Raw genomic sequence first — 17,842 nt, 5'->3', positions numbered from 1 at the left:
GAAGGGCCCCTTTCACTGCTCTCCTGCATTTTCCAAAGCCTCAGCTCAAATGCTGTCTTCTGGAAAGACTCTCCTGAGCACCTCGGTCAGAGTGAGAATGTGGTCTCTACAGCCATCCAACATTCACCTGATTTTTGCACAGTGGTTGAGATTTCTGGCATCAAGGGGACCTGGGGCTGAATCCAAAGCCCACCACTCACGAACTCTGTATACCTGGAAGCGTGACTTGATCCCTCTAAGTTTCCTTATGTGTAAAAGACAGAGTAGAGAATGTGACCTCTCTATATCTAAGTTTTCTTATGGATAAAACAGGAATTATAGAACAAAGTACATAGAGATATTCTGAGGATGAAATAAAATTGAGTAAGATGATTATATTAAGCACCTAGCATGGTGCTTGGCACACAATAAGGAATCAATACACACTGAGTATTCTATTAGCGTCTTCTATGTATTTGTCTCTCACTCACACGGGGACCTCTGAGGCTCCAGTCACTAAGTCTTATCACCAAGCACTCAGCACAAGGCCCTACCCACAACAGATATTTTTTAAACTGAATAATTTCAGTTTTTTTTTAAACTCCCAGGAATGTCTGTATCTCAAGATACAAACTCTTTTTTTTTTTTCCCCCGAAGGCAGGGTCTCACTCACCCAGGCTGGGGCACAGTGGCACAATCACAGCTCACTGCAAGCCCTGACCTCTGCCGTCACCACAGGCTCAGGTGATCTTCCCACCTCAGCCTCCCCCGTAGCTGGGACTATAGGTACGCACCACCACACCCGGCTAATTTTTGTATTTTTTGTAGAGGCGAGGTTTCCCCATGTTGCCTAGGCTGGTCTCAAAACTCCTGGGCTCAAGCAATTCTCCCACCTCACCCTCCCAAAATGCTGGAATTACAGGTATGAGCCACTACACCCAGTCTCAAGGTACAAACTCTTAATGAGAGTTGAGGCCAGGAGTTCCCAATCAGCCTACACAATACAGGGGAACCCTGTCTCTACAAAAAGTTAAAAAATCAGCCAGGTATGGTTGCACATGCCTGTGGTTCCAGCTACTTGAGAGGCTGAGGCTGGAGGATCACTTGAGCCCAGGAGTTGGAGGCTGAAGTGAGCTGACTGCACCACTGCACTCTAGCCTGGGTGACAGAGACCCTCTCTTTAAAAAATGAGAGAGAGAGAGCTGAAACCCAGCATGTGCTCAGGAATGTGTAGATGAACAAATGAAAGAAAATACTTTTTTTCTTTTTATATAGAAATACACAGTGAAGGGGGAAAATATTATTTGAGCAAGGAATTTTTCTACTCTAGGAACTCACCTATCTTACAGCCTTGAGTGAGACAACCCAGAATTAAGATGTATGAGACCACTCAGTCATACACCCACAAAATGCTGCATGGTGTAGTCTTACTAAAAAGCAAACGGTTGTTACTGACAGAAAAGGTGCCAACTAGTATGTGAATTAACTGAACCCTCAAGCAGAAGAATCCCTGTCTCCTTACTTGGTTGTTAAGTTCTTTAAGGGTAAGAACCATACCCAGATAGCCTTACACTCCTCCCAAATCTTGGCAAAGTGCTGGTGCACAGGCCAGGCTGAAATGTGTTTGACCTATACTCTACACAGCTCCTTTTATAGCTCCTTCTTCTAAACCTATGTATTCCCAGTTTTTTACAGAAACATCCAAGAAATTCAGGATGCTAGATAAGGGGAGTTAGGAAGAAAAAGGAGACACCACAAAATACAAAACTGGTTAAGAAATGATTAAAGAAAGAAACCTAATACCAACAGAATGCCTCGCAAGTGAAACAGTAAGTCCCACGCTAGTGAGTTAGCAGCCTAAAGAACTACAGCCATCTGGGCCAGGCACGGTGGATCACTTGAGGTCAGGAGTTCAAGACCAGCCTGACCAACACGGTGAAACCCCATCTCTACTAAAAATGTAAAAATCAGCTGGGCGTGGTGGTTGGCGCCTGTAATCCCAGCTACGTGGGAGGCCGAGGCTGGAGAATCGCTTGAACTGAGGAGACAGAGGTTGCAGTGAGCCAAGATCACGCCACTGCACTTTGGCCTGGGTGACAGAGCAAGACTCTGTCTCAAAAAAAAAAAAAAAAAAAAAAGTACAGCCATCTGAACGGATGCTTGAGCCTCCCCTTCTCCCGTGTCAGGTAAAGATGTTGGAGGGGAGACCAAGAAATAAAAGACAGAGACGTCACCTGAGTCAACAAAGGCTTTCACAGGATGTCCATTCACTTTGCAGTTAATATAAAGCATCACTACTTGGCCAAAACTTTCCGGAGCCTCTTCCATAGCTATTGTCATGTTTTCCTCAATGTTCTGTTGCCTGTAACAGAACAAGACCAGGGACACTGAAAGCATTAATTCCATGGAGAGAAATCAGTTTCAAAGTCACAATATTAAAAAACAGATTTGTACATATCTTTTGCCCCAAGCACAGCAGCCGAGTCATAGAAAAATTGGTGCTATATGGGGCAAGAGATCATTTCCAAAGAGGCAGTAAGATGAACAGCTGGCAGAAAATCTAAAGGCATAAAAATTACCCTTTGTAAAACACTAAGCCGCCTTTCTATGCTCAGAAATAAGAAACTGGAGAGCAAGGGTTACAACCCCATTTTTCTGGCAGAATGTTAGAATTTCGGGAATGTTCCAATTTTAACTGAGGATTTACTGGGTATCTGAATACATTTCCTAAGCCCAGAACATTACAAAAAGTTCACAAACAGAAAACACAAATATTTCAACGTCTTGTGCTGCATCTGCTGCTTCATCTCCAGGACTGGGTTTTCTAATCTGTACACTAAGGATAACTGTTACCTAGGTTGCCAAGAGGTACAAAGCATCTAGTATACAGTGCTCATATAACAGCTTATGCTACAAAAAAATTGCACCCATCACTTAAAACTACATGTGTTTCATAGTTCATTTGATCCATGAAATAATTTGTTTAAAAATTCAACATGCTGGCCGCACACGGTGGCTCACGCCTGTAATCCCAACACTTTGGGAGGCCAAGGCGGGTGGATCACCGGAGGTCAGGAGTTCAAGACCAGTCTGGCCAACATGGTGAAACCCCATCTCTACTAATAATACAAAAACTAGCCGGGCATGGTGGCATGCACCTGTAATCCCAGCTACTCAGGAGGCTGAGGCAGTAGAACTGCTTGAACCCGGGGGGCGGAGGTTGCAGCCAAGATCGCACGACTACACTCCAGCCTGAGCGACAGAGCGAGACACCAAAAACAAAAAAAATCAACATGCCAGGTGCAGTGGTTCACACCTGTAGTCCCAGCACTTTCTTTGGAAGGCCAAAGTAGGTGGATCCCTTGAGCTCAGGAGTTTGAGCTCAGGAGTTTCAAACCAGCCCGGGCAACATGGTGAAACCCCATCTCTCCCCACCAAAAGGAAGGAAAAGAAAACAAAAAAATCAACACAACTCTAATTCTTACACGAGAAAAGCAACAAAAGGGAGTTCTTGCTTACTCCAACATCTCATGTTTATTCCCAATTTTTTTCTACTCCCTTAAAACAGCATGAATCAATCTCCTTTTAAAAACATTATCAAATACTACCAACATTAATGGAAACTAGGTCAGCGGTTGGGCAACTTACCTGAAGACTGAGACACTAACAGAACAGCTTCTAAGATTTGGGATAACCTACACTGTAAATCCAGGGTTGGTAAATCATAGCCTGCTGTTTAGGCAAAAAAAGTTTTATGGAAACACAGTGATATAGTGCATTTACATATTGTCCTATTGTCTATGGCTGCTTTCACATGGCAGTGGCGGAGCTGAACATGAGCAACACAGATTGTATGGTTTGCAAAGACTAAAATATTTACTATCTGCCCATTTATAGAAAGTCCACTAAGGCCTGGCACAGCAGCTCATGCCTATAATCCCAGCACTTTGGGAGGCCAAGGCAGGCGGATCACTTGAGGCCAGGAGTTTGACACCAGCCTGGGCAACACAGTGAGACCCTATCACTATAATTAGCTGGGCGTGGTAGCACAAGCCTGTAGTCTCAGCTATTCAGGAGACTGACGCAAGAGATTGCTTGGGCCTGGGAGGCTGAGGCTGCAGTGAGCTAGGATGGCACCACTGCACTCCAGCCTGGACGACAGAGCAAGATACTTTTTTTTTTTTTGCCCTGTTTTATGGTGCTGACCCTGTCTCTTCAACAAACAAACAAACAAAAAATAAACCTCACACCAAGCGTGGTGGCTCACACCTATAATCCAAGCACTCTGGGAGCTGGACAAATCACTCGAGCCCAGGACTTCAAGACACGACTGGGCAACACGGCGAAACCTCGTCTCTACAAAATACAAGAAAAATTAGCCAGGTGTGGTGGTGTGCCTATAGACCCAGCTACTCAGGAGGCTGATGGGGGAGGATCACCTGAGCCTAAGAAGTTGAGGCTATGAGCCATGATCGTGCCACTACACTCCAGCCTAAACGTCGGAGGCCCTGTCTCAAAACAAACAAAAAAAACTCTGCTGACTCCTGCTCTAACTACAGTTTCTGTTCTTTTCATAATAATCATCTAGCTCAAGTGAACTGATAGCTTTATCAGTCATTTTGCAACAAAATTTAAACTCAGAAAGTCAAAAGCACCTTCCTTTAGGCAAATATGAAAGCTATCGAACCTGTGTTCACCTACCCTGTGTAATCACTGGTGTAGCAAGCCATATGAAACTTTAATAGACATTTTATATAATTACACAGGTTTTATGCTATTGCACATTATTAAACATAGAAATAACCTAAAATTAATTGTATACTTCATCTTGCATGGACTCCAACCCAAATGAGTTTCAACAAAAAATCCTCTGCAATAACACCAGCTACTTTGGCTTTTCTGGGGTCCATATGTAGAGAGTCTCTTCAGAGGTACAAGGTTTTCACCTTTCAAAGAATGGATGTGGCCAGGCGCAGTGGCTCACACCTGTAATCCCAGCCCTTTGGGAGGATGAGGAGGGTGGATCACCTGAGGTCAGGAGTTTGAGACCAGCCTGGCCAAGATGGTGAAACCCCATCTTTACTAAAAATACCAAAATAGCCGGGCGTGGTGGTACATGCCTGTAATCCCAGCTACTCAGAAGGCTGAGGCAGGAGAATCGCTTGAACTTGGGAGGCGGAGGCTGCAATGAGCCGAGATCGTGCCACTGAACTCAGGCCTGGGCGACAGAGCAAGACTCCGTCTTGGGCCTGGGGTGGGGAAGAGAATAGATGTGTCACCCTATTTCCTTCATTCAAGCCCTAGAAAGAAACATGAGCCTTATGGACACTCTCTATTTCACTTCTATTCTTATTTATTTTTTTGAGATGGAATTTCGTAATGACTTAGGGCTGTCAATTAATTCTAGTGTACAATTATATTTCTTTTTTTTTTTTTCCTAAGATGGGGGTCTCACTCTCTTGCCCAGGTTGGAATGCAGTGGTACAATCATAGCTTACTGCAGCCTCCAACTACTGGGCTCAAGTGATCTTCCTGCCTCAGCCTCCTGAGTAGCTGGGACTGCAGGTGCATGCCACCACACCTGGCTAATTTATTTTATTTTTTGTAAAGACAGAGTCTCACTTTGCTGCCCAGGCTGGCCTCAAACTCCTGGCTTCAAGCAAAGTGTTGGGATTACAGGCATGAGCCACCAGGACTAGCCTGTATTTCTGATTTCAAATGTAGTAAGAAGAGTAAGAGGCAGGACATGGTGTTCACACTTGTAATCCCAGCACTTTGAGTGGCTGAGGTAGGAGATCAATTGAGGTCAGAAGGAAGATCAATTGAGAAGAAGGACGGGCTAAGTGCAGTGGCTCATCCCTATAATCCTAGCACTTTGGGAGGCTGAGGCGCGTGGATTGCGTGAGCTCAGGAGTTCAAGACCAGCCTGGGCAACACAGTGAAATCCTGTCTCTACAAAAAATGAAAAAATTAGCTGGGCGTGGTGACAGATGCCTGTATTCCCAGCTATTCGGGAGGCTAAGGTGAGAACACCTCAGTCTCGGGGAGGTCCAGGCTGCAATGAGCTGTGATTGTGCCACTGCACTCTAGCCTGGGTGACAGAGTGAGACCTTGTCTCAAAAAAAAAAAGATAAAAAGAATAAGAAGTTTAAAAAAGCATGATTTAATTTCTAAGTTGATAGATAGTGTAATACAATGACCAAGTTAGGCTTCATTTAAGTAACCGGAATGATGACACGGTCCCTAAAAGGCCAAGCAGTCTAAGTGTAGTAAGTATCGTTGCTGTTATCTTCTTCTTAGTTATACTAAGTTCTTCACAATTAGCAACAAAAACTGACTTGAGGCAGGAAAAGCAGCTGTCCTTTTTTTCAGAGAATGACTGAACAGAATCTTGCTTGTGACTATCAGTGTGACTGAGGCCGGAACAGCGTCACTGTCCTTGCTTGAGCTCCATGCCCGACAATTCTGATTCATCAGATTTGGGAGAAGAGTCCAAGCATCTGCATTTTTAAAAGTTTCTCATGTGATTTTACTATAGCCCCAGGTGAGAACCACCGCATTACAGAAACTGAGAGCTGGAAACATGTCCAGCATTCAGTTTATCCACTGAGGCCAGTACAAGAAATGCAGCAGGAAAACAGACTTAGGACTACCAACGTTCCATCGGCGCAGAGCCCTCTCTAATCCAATCATGTTTAAGCCCTGGATTTAATCAGGACTTATACAATATGTCTAAAGAAAGAGAGTCAAATCAGCCCATGTAATATGCAACCAGCCTTGTGGTCTCACCAGATGGTGGCTTCTGCTCAGTCCGGGGGTCATTTATCTAAAGCTGTGTTATGATGCTCTGTCTGCTAGTCAGGGAGTCCTCCTTAAAATTTTAGAAAGAAAGTCATTAAACTAAGCACCTATATCTTTGTCATGTCAAATCGAAATGCATAGAAAATGAAAGAGGAGAGACTAACCTAAAAGACTGAGGTTACTATCTCAACTGCAAAACAGAGAAGCTACCTCCAAGCAGATGCCCAACCAATGTCAGATAACCTGCAGTCTGGGAAATCTGGAGTCTCTAAGTTTTGTTCTTTAGATGAACAGGTCTTTACCTTATATCTTCTTCTATCTTTGCCTGAGCTTCAAGGTCAAAGGGATCAGCAGAAAACAGACGAATCCTTTCTTGCTCTCTCCGGGCTCGGTCCTGCTGCTGCTCCACCAGGACTCTAGAAAATTTCTCTACAAAAATAAGGGAGAAAAATCTTAAATATCACTATATTTTCAACGTTTATCAGTACTTTTCCACACCAAACAATTTATCAAACTACATCTGTAAGAGATGCAGAGAGGATGCCTAAAGCTTATTTAAAATGAGCAATTACATTTACTTTCTGTTCTCTGAGTCAAGGCTATTTCATCATTTAAATTCAGTGTAAAGAAAGTATTTGTGGCTGGGTGTGGTAGCTCATGCCTATAATCTCGACACTTTGGGAGGCTGAGGTGGGAGGACCGTTTGAGCCTAGGAGTTCGAGACCAGCCTGGGCAACATAGCAAGACCTTGTCTCTACAAAAAATATAAAAATTAGTTGGGCGTGGTGGTGCATGCCTGTAGTCCCAGCTACTGTTGGATGGGGGTTCAAGGGTGGGGGGATGGCCTGAGCCCAGGAGGTCGAGGATGCAGTGAGCTGTGATCGCACCACACACTCCAGCCTGGGTGACATGGTGAGACCCTGTTTTTTTTTTTTTAAAAAAAAAAAAAAAAAAAGTATTTGCAAAAATTTTTTATAAGAAGTTATCTATCATATTGTTTCTACTCAGAGGTAACAACTTTCCAATTTAAAATGGTGGGGAGTGACCATGTGGCAGATCAATGTCTCCACTCCTCCATTCCTCATTGTTCTCATTATCCTACTACCTAGAAACAAAATACAGCATTATATAATCTCCTTTTCCTCTTCTAGTTTCATTTCTTTTATAACATGCCCTGCCTTAAGCCAGATACATTAAGTATAAACTATTTTTAGTCTACCTATATTTTGTGTGTGTTCTGATGAATTAATAGGCAGGAAAATTAGTAGAGAAAACACTGCTTGCTATAAGATGTATGTTACAACAAGAACCTATTTTGCAATTTCTTTTTTTTTGAGATGGAGTTTCGCTCTTGTTGCCCAGGCTGGGGAGCAATGGCGCAATCTTGGCTCACTACAACCTCCACCTCCCAGGTTCAAGTGATTCTCCTGCCTCAGCCTCCCAAGTAGCTGGGATTACAGGTACCTGCCACCACGTCCAGCTAATTTTTGTATTATTAGTAGAGACTGGGTTTCACCATGTTGGCCAGGCTGGTCTTGAACTCCTGACCTCAGGTGATCCACCGTGCCCGGCCTATTTTGCAATTTCTTAAATGGTGGTACATTTAAGTGTGCAAACTTAAATGCCCCATCATCACCATCTTTGGTGATTAGATATGCTGATATAAGAGATTAAAAGATATTATGACAATGGTTATCTGAACTACTAATGCACACAATACAGATGGATCTAAAAAGCATTAAGTTGAGTGAAAAGCCTAACACGAGCTGGGAGTGGTGGCTCACGCCTGTAATCTCAGTACTTTGGGAAGCCGAGACGGGTGGATCACGAGGTCAGGAGTTTGAGACCAGCCTGGCCAACATGGTGAAACCCAATCTCTACTAATAATACAAAAATTAGCCGGGTGTGGTGGTGCACGCCTGTAGTCCCAGCTACTTGGGACACTGAGGCGGGAGAATCGCTTGAACCCAGGAGGCGAAGGTTGCAGTGAGCAGAGATCGCGCCACTGCACTCCAGCCTGGGAGACAGAGTGAAACTCCGTCTCAAGAAAAAAAAAAACAAAGCCTAACACGAAAGAGCAGACACTCTATTATTCCATATACATGAAGTTTAAAAATACGGGAAACTAAACCATAAGATTATCAAAACAGTAGTAACCTATAAGGAGAGGAGATTGACTAGAAAGCAACACAGTGGAACTTTCTGGAGTGAGAGAAATGTCCTGTGTCTTGATTGGGGTTACAGGAGTTTGTCAAAACTCAAGGAATTGTATATTTAAAATCTGAGTACTTCGCTTAAGGTAAAGATTGCCAATTTAAAGACAGTCAATTGAGGAATGAGTCATTAAGTGTCTGTTATGTTTTTAGACTTAACCCAATTTAACTCATAAACCCAAGAGTAAAATGAGAGTAATTTACAGAGAAAACTCGATTCATAAAGATGGCTACAAGTTAGCTGGGTGCAACTGCTCATGCCTGTAATCCCAGCACTTTGGGAGGCCAAGGCAGGCAGACTGCTTGAGCCCAAGAATTCGAAAGCAGCCTGGACAACATGGCAAAACTCCATCTCTACAAAAAATACAAAAAATAACTTGGAGTGGACTGAGGTTATGGTGATTCCATTTTGCCATACAGGGCACTGAACCTTCCTGGCATCAGCTGGCATCAGCTGGCTTGTTGATGATCTCTTTAATTGAAGATCTAACTAAGGTTAAAATATCGGTACTGGCTGGGCATGGTGGCTCACACCTGTAATCCCAGCACTTTGGGAGGCCGAGGCAGGCGGATCACGAGGTCAGGAGATCGAGACCATCCTGGCTAACACGGTGAAACCCCGTCTCTAATAAAAATACAAAAAATTAGCCAGGTGTGGCAGCATGCGCCTGTAGTCCCAGCTACTTGGGAGGCTGAGGCAGGAGAATGGCATGAACCCGGGAGGCGGAGCTGGCAGTGAGCCAAGATTGCACCACTACACTCCAGCCTGGGCGAAAGAGCAAGACTCCGTCTCAAAGAAAAAACAAAGAAACAAACAAAAATCAGTACCTAGGTTATCTGCTGCCAAAAACAATGAGGAAAACAAAAAGTAAACCAAGGGGGGTGGCCTAGATGGATTTCACTGCTAAAACTCTATTGCTGTTTCCAAGTAACTCAGCCTTTGACTTTAGCACTAATTTACCTCTCACAGAGAAAAAACTGGTATGTTCAATAAATCATGTGACACAGTGTCGCTTGAGTCTCTTCACATTTGCTATGACACAGCTTCTTCACCTCAGGCCAGCCTAATAGCCTTCCAAATTTATAAGCTTACCAAGGTCTCCACTGAGCAGAGCTTCTGCCAGGGGTGGATTGCGTTCCTTCAGCAAGGACAGCTCATGCGGGTTGGCCAGCAACATATCTCGGAGCAAGGCTGGATTGTCCAAGCCCTGAGGAGATGAAGTTATTTCTCCAGGAGATGAGTGGGACTGCTGTGTTCCTGGTGGCTGGCGCTGCCGGGGACTTGATGTGCCAGGCACAGCTATACTACTGAAATCTATTCGGGGTAAGTCTGTTGGGGAAAATCAATTCAGTTTACTCAAATTACTCTACAAAAACAAGCACTTGAAGGAAACAGCAGAACACTTGCTCATACATGGTATATGACAGCAGCAAAGGTAACTGTAGACTTTAACCTTGTTCTTTCTCATGATGACTCTGAATATAAAGACTGCCGGCTGAGAGTGAATCGATAGAAGAAGAAAAATAGGGGGAAGGTGATGGTAGTAACTCCAAATTTTTAGCTTATAAAATATCTCACAATAGACATCAGGTTTTTAATTTATGTTTTTAAATCATTAAAGTGGCCAGGCGTGGTGGCTCACACCTGTAATCCCAGCACTTTGGGAGGTCAAGGTGGCTGGATCACCTGAGGTCAGAAGTTCAAGACCAGCCTGGTCAACATAGTGAAACTCTGTCTCTACTAAATATACAAAAATTAGCTGGGCGTGGTCGCAGTCACCTGTAATCCCAGCTACGCAGGAGGCTGAGGCAGAAGAATCACCTGAACCCGGGAGGTGGAGGTTGCAGTGAGCCGAGATGGCGCCATTGCACTCCAGCCCAGGCAACAAGAGCGAAACTTCATCTCAAAAGAAAAAAAAAAAAAAAAATTAAAGCTAGTTTCAATAAATATAATTGCATAAGTCTGGATGTTGTTCTTGAGAAAAATCCTACTCTGGTCTGACATATGGTTCAAACAGCCTTGACGCTTGGATTAAAGAATTTTTTTTTTTTTTTTTTGACACGGAGTCTTGCCTTGTTGCCCAGATTGGAGTGCAATGGCACGATCTTGCCTCACTGCAACCTCTGCCTCCTGGGTTCAAGTGATTCTCCTGCCTCAGCCTCCCGAGTAGCTGGGATTACAGGCGTGTGCCACTACGCCCAGCTAATTTTTTGTATTTTTAGTAGAGATGGGATTTCACCATGTTGGCCAGGCTGGTCTCGAAATCCTGACCTCAGGTGATCCACCCACCTCAGCCTCCCAAAGTGCTGGGATTATAAGTGTGAGCCACTGTGCCCGGCCGGATCAAAGGATATTATATATGTCAAGTGAGCAGCATAAATATTAGATGCTAAATTCTGCAAGTCAGTGCTAAACGTATTGGCTCAGGGAAGTTCTTAATAGTTCTCTGAATTTATACTTTAATCTGTGCATCTCTGCTAACTCTTCTCATGCCCTTGGGGAGCTAAACAGTGTCATCATTTTATAGAAAAGAAAGAAGAAAAGGGACTTGCATAGGTTCTCAGTGCTGAATACACCAAAAGCTACCACAGTTTAGAAGCTACAACTCCCAGGTTCTATATGCCAGGTGGAACTGACCTTACTAAAATGAAAGGAAGATAAAAGGGAATTTTAATCCTTACACAACGGACTCACATATTGTATGACCCCATTTATATGAAATGTTCCAAATAGGTAAATACATAGAGACAGAAAGTAGACTTGTAGTTGTCTAGGCTGCGGAGACTAGGGGGAAATGGGAAATGACTATAAATGGGTATAGGATTTCTTTTTAAGGTAATGAAAATACGCTAAAATGGATTGTGGTGATGGTTACACAACTCATGAATATAGTAAAAAAAAATCATTTAAATGCATGAATTCTATCTCAATAAAACTGTTATTTAAAAAAGAAAAATGAAAAAGAGAAAAGTAAACAAGGAGAGCCAGAATGAGGGGCTAGGCCTGAGTCAATCGACATTCCTTCAACTCCAAAAAATATAGTTGATGGTCAAACTTGTCTGAACAACTGAATACTTTTCTTAAGGATAACTGTGCTTAATGTTATAAATGACAGTACACTAAGCAATTCCACAGTGATCAGAATTATAGCACAATCCTTGCACTATTAAGGATTTTAAATAAACTAAAAAATCAAAAAACAAACAAACTTGTCTCAAGTCTGGGACTATCCTGAAGCCTTTTTGGACCTCAGATAGAAAAAGAGAATGCTTAAACTCATGATGTAACATTTCTACCCTTTAGCAGGGGTTCAACTAGCCACTTTCTTCAACTCCCAACCAAGGAAATGGTGAAGTGAAGAGGATGATCTCTGTGAGGTAGTTAATCTATACCAGCCAGAAAAACATATATGGGTGGGCCCTCTTTGCAGGTCAAGAAATTTTATCTCCACTCCTGTTATACATTATCTTGAGAGTCCATTCACTTCAGAATAATTCTCAAAAACATGTTTACTTAATAGACCAGATCACTCCTGCCCCAACCTGTTACAGGCTCTCTTGTCCATAAACAACAATGCAGAGGAAAAAAAAAAAGAAGTAAATTCCGGAATTAATAATCTCATCAAATTAACCAAAGGAAGATGTGGTTTTTACTGATTGTCATAGTTGTTTAAATACGTTTAACTTCTTCAGAAAGAAGTTTTAACTTCTTTCTAAAGTTTAACTGTGGCCCCAAGGGACTAATGTCTTCCAGATCTGGTGGAGCCGGTCCTTGATGGTCTCAGTAAGTTCCAGTTTCAGGCTGAATGGAAACACTGTGGTTAAAACTGCAGTCAGTCTGTCATCACCCAGACTCTGCCAGCATCTGTCACCATAAACTTTAAAACTGGTGACCTACAGGCTAAACACTATTTAAGAAAATCTATCTGAATATGGCAGCGAATGGAAAAAAACCACACATTTCACCAAGCTGTTTCACATTAAGACCTTATAATCATTTTGTGGATCATGAGCCACTTCAAGTATCTGAACAAAGCTATGACCCTCTCTCTATCCAGTGCACACACACATTCACATCCACACAATTCTGCATATTATTTCAGTGACATAGAACCTACTAAATCCCAATGCACAGAGTTCAGACTATAAACATCTATTATAAAAGCAGCATCAAAGATAGATAAACGTTTCTTTGTATGTGATTAACACAGCTGGTAGGAAAGAACCACAACTTGGTGGTCAAGCTGCTTAATGTTTATCAAGTTCAGCATAATGGAAAAAGCATCAAATTTTAATTCCTGTGCCCTCACTTAATAGCTATGTAACTTTAAAGACACCATTTAAAATCTGAGCTTCATAATTATAAATTATTATGCAAATTAGTATGTAAATCCCCCCACAACCAAGTTATGAGATCATGTGAAATGCAGCTCCAAGTGCCTGGCTGGCTATAAAATGCTCCAGAAAGGCTGGCCACTGAAGGACAGACACAAAGTAGCAAAATCATAGGCTTATGTATTCTTTCAAGTCCTTCCCAAGGATAAAGATTATTGTATAATTATCACTGATAACAGAAGCTAACATTTATTGAGGGCTTGCTGTGTGCTAAGATTTTACATGCATTAGCCTCACGTCAGCTTTAGGAGTTGGGGTTAATTATGGCACCTAACTTATAGAAGAGGAAACCAATTTAGAGACATTAAAATACTTGTTCAAGGTTACACGGCAGGGAAAAGGCAGAGTCAGGATCTGTATTCTGTAGTCTGAATCCAAAGCGAATCCAAAACTCTGAGGTGCTATGCTCTGCTACCTGCTGATGGTTCTGCTGGGGGATGCTCAACCACCAGATGTCTTACTTGGGAACTGCACTGGAGGTCGAGGGTCTGCATTCTCCTTCTGTCGTAAAATCACAACGTCCCCATCTTTCAAGCCATAAGAAGCCAATGATCTGTGGTTGTCTGTGAGAGGTCTTTCCGCATAGACGATCTACAACAAGAAAAGATATACAACAGTATAAAGCACTGAGAAGTAACACAGCGCAAGGCAGAAGGACCAGTTTTCCCCTGAATCAGATGTCACCCTCCTTTCAAACCCTCCAGTGGATTCCCACCACATCCAGAACAAAACCCACAGTCCTTCCCGTCACCTAGCAGGACCAAACAATGTGGTCCCTGGCTCTCCTGACTTCGCCTTTCACTATGACTGCTGTTCCTCAAACAACAGGGATCAACTTCCCCTTCAGGGCTGTTTCTCTTGTTTTCTCTACCTGAGGAATGTTCTTTTTCCACTCATTTTTTTCCTTTTACGTCTCTGATCAAACATTACTCTTTAGAGTTCTTCCCTACTATGTTATTTAAAATGTACTCTCAACTAACACAATATATATTTACTTATTGTCCTTCTGCCCCATTAAATGTAAACTACTTGAGGACAAAGACTTTGTTTCATTCACGAGATCATAAATGCTTAGAACAGGGCCTGTTATATAACTGATGCTCAAATATTTGTTGAACTAAAGAATGAATGAATTTATGGAAATGGATATAATTTTAGATTTAATTTTTAGCAGGGAGGAAAAGGGAATGATTTATTCTGGGTATGCTAACTAACTACAGTACTATTAAATAAAGTGTGCACTTTGAAATAATCTTGAACACTGGCAAAAGGGTCCCAAATATCATCCTTCCTGCACTGCAATCTTCCTTCTCTTCTACCACCCCCAAAGTTTTATCACTCTGGGCCGGGCACGCTGGCTCACGCCTGTAATTCCAGCACTTTGGGAGGCCAAGGCGGGTGGATCACGAGGTCAGGGGTTCGAGACCAGCCTGGCCAACATGGTGAAACTCCGTCTCTACTAAAAATACAAAAATTAGCCCAGTGTCGTGGCACGTGCCTGTAATCCCAGCTACTCCAGAGGCTGTGGCAGGAGAATTGCTTAAACCCGGGAGGCAAAGGTTGCAGGGCTGAGATCGCACCACTGCACCCTAGCCTGGGCAAGCAAGATTCCATCTTGGTGGGGTGGTGGGAGGGGGGAGACTGGAAAATAAAGTGAAACTAAGAAAATAACAACTAAATACAAGTGGAAAAAAGAATTAGGAATGTACTACTAATAAAAATATTTTATGATGTGTAATCAAACTGAAAAAAACCTGACAGCACAAATAGATGAAATAATGTGTTGCAGATAGAAAGAACAAAGGTACACTATAATTTTATCATGAAAAAACATAAAATCTGCCCTGCATTATTACATACTCCAGAAAGGCATTCAGAACAAACTCAGGCTTTGAAAGGTTTTCCTCCTAATGATTTTTCACCAGGCCACATGCGAACTGAGGAACATGAGTTCTATCCTTGCCAGTAACTCCCTGCGAGGGGCATGACACTCAGCAGGTCCAGACCTCACCCTTCCCATGTGTCAAGCAAGCAGGTGGGCTAGATCATCATTACAGCTGTCCCTTCCAGTTCTCTCTGCTAACATTATCATTCTATGTTTCCTTACAGCTTTCATAGTAAGGTTACCTGAAATAAAAACTGAAAACACAGCATTTAAACTGGAAAAAAAGTGATTATGCCATATCTGCTCTCAGAATTTATAGACATGAGGAACAGAACAGGAAAATGAGTTCCTACCAAAATCAAATTCTTCTGAATATGAGCAAATTTGTAGGCCCAATTATACAAGTTTTATGCATGACTTGAAAAAAAATACTATTAAGTCCTTAATGCTCAACTCGCTGAGTTAAAACACATTTCAGATCTGGTATGATGGCTCATGCCTATAATCCTAGCACTTGGGGAGGCTGAGGTGTGAGCATCACTTAACCCATTTAGGCCAGAGGTTGCAAATTTTCTTTTGTGAAAAAATCATACCTTGGCAATGACCTTGAGTAGTAGGATATAACTCCCACAAGCTTAGCGTTCCATTGGAAGGCTAAGCACAAATGGGTTAAGCCCTGGAGTTTGAGACCAGCCTGGGCAACATAGTGAGACCGCATATCTAAAAAAAAAAAATTTTAAATAGCCAGCCATGGTAGCATGTGACTGTAGTCTCAGCTACTTAGGAGTCTGAGGCAGGAGGATTGCTTGAGCCCAGGAGGTCCAGGCTGTAGTGAGCTGCGGTTGCACCACTGCACTCCAGCCTGGGGCAACAGAGTAAGACCCTGTCTCTTAAAAAACAAAAACAAACAAAAAAAGAACCACATTTCAACAGACTGCAACTGTCACTCCCATCATCCCATTCACACACCCTCATTTAAACACAAATTTCACAGTAAAAGTACATCACCATCAACACAGAATTTCAGCAAAACAACTGAGAGTCATATTATAACTTGTGAGACTGCTTGGAAAAAACACATAAACCAGAAGTGATGAGCGTCACAGGTTGAGGTGTGCAACAAGAAAAAAGAGGTATGTCAAGAGAAATGGCAGGTAGGCAGGCTCTTACAGCATAGCATCAACACTGTGAAGCCACTGTCAACAACCTACTCTTTAATTTTCCAGTTTCAGAAATTCAACTATCAGTATATTTAGAGATACATGAACAGTCTCCTGGGAGCAGAGGCACATTTTAACGGTATTTATTTATTTATTTATTTTGAGACGGAGTCTCGCTCTCGCCCAGGCTGGGGTGCAGTGGCGGGATCTCGGCTCACTGTAAGCTCCGCCTCCCAGGTTCTCCTGCTTCAGCCTCCTGAGTAGCTGGGACTACAGGCACCTGCCCCCACAAGCGGCTAATTTTTTTTTTGTATTTTTTGTAGAGACGGGGTTTCACCATGTTAGCCAGGATGGTCTCGATCTCCTAACCTTGTGATCTGCCCGCCTTGGCCTCCTAAAGTGCTGGGATTACAGACGTGAGTCACTGCGCCCGGCCACTAACTATTTATAAGAGAAAATTTATTTATTTACAAGGAGGAAGCAAACTCAGGAGAATCAAAATGATCCTATGCAGGCTGGGTGCCATGGCTCACGCCTTAATTCCAAAACTTTGGGAGGATGAGGTAGGAAGATCATTTGAGGCCAGGAATGCAAAGCCAGCCTGGGCAATACAGCAAGACCCCATCTCTAAAATAATAATAATAATAATAATAATAAGCCAGGCATGGTAGCATATGCCTGTAGTCTCAACTATTTGGGAGACTGAAGCTGGAGGATCACCTGAGCCCAGGAGTTCGAGGTTGCAGTGAGTTATGATTGTACCACTGCACTCCAGCCTGGGCAACAGAATAAGATCTTGTCTCTTAAAAAAAAAAAAAAAAAAAAAAGAAGAAGAAAACTGCAATTGGAACTGTCTAATTTCAAAGCCCATTACTCCAGGAGTATCATATACAGCTTTCCCGAACATAACCCTAAAGTGGCCTGGTGAATTAGCTGGGTGATTTTAACAAGTACTACTAAGCCATCCATTGCCACTAAGAGACTCTATCCACTAAGAGGATCAAAATACTGTCCACTGCTCAACGCATCCCCATGCCCTGGACATGAAGAAACACCACCAACTGCCCGCTCTGACTCCCACTTCACAGATGCCATACTTCACTCCATCACTGCTTAGTTGCCACAATATTTCCTCAGCAGACAATAGCATTTTTTAAAGGAAGGCAGCATGATCTAACAATAAAAATGTAAAATCTAGATAACCACCACATTGAGCATGTCTATGAAATATGAAATGTTGCTTCAGCGCCAATTTCCTGGAAACACTAGACTGAAGAACCTGGGTGAGGCGCACACGTTCCTCACACTGACGAAGCAGCAGCTGTGCTCCATTTTAATCTAAGGACATAAATGAGATCAACTAAAGCTTAGCTAAAATTGTAATTGCCACAAAGAACTGATTTCTTTTT

At 42.7% G+C, this 17,842-nt stretch overlaps 1 protein-coding gene across 1 annotated transcript in view; it reads right to left on the bottom strand.

Moving 5' to 3' along the window:
* Positions 1 to 17,842, bottom strand: part of DDI2 (DDI proteasomal shuttling factor 2) — a 51,587-nt gene that overhangs the window by 28,397 nt on the left and 5,348 nt on the right. Inside the window, exons 2-5 of the mRNA NM_032341.5 lie at positions 13,850 to 13,979; positions 10,087 to 10,323; positions 7,083 to 7,209; positions 2,214 to 2,341 (exon numbers count right to left, since the gene is read on the bottom strand). Of these exons, the coding sequence (NP_115717.3) occupies positions 2,214 to 2,341; positions 7,083 to 7,209; positions 10,087 to 10,323; positions 13,850 to 13,979 (622 nt within the window). The remainder of the gene's footprint in view (positions 1 to 2,213; positions 2,342 to 7,082; positions 7,210 to 10,086; positions 10,324 to 13,849; positions 13,980 to 17,842) is intronic.

The sequence above is a fragment of the Homo sapiens genome, chromosome 1, assembly GCF_000001405.40.
Source record: "Homo sapiens chromosome 1, GRCh38.p14 Primary Assembly".
In the NCBI taxonomy this organism is placed as follows: domain Eukaryota; kingdom Metazoa; phylum Chordata; class Mammalia; order Primates; family Hominidae; genus Homo; species Homo sapiens.
Note: the sequence above shows the minus strand (reverse complement) of the source record. Positions and strands in the feature narration are given on the sequence as shown.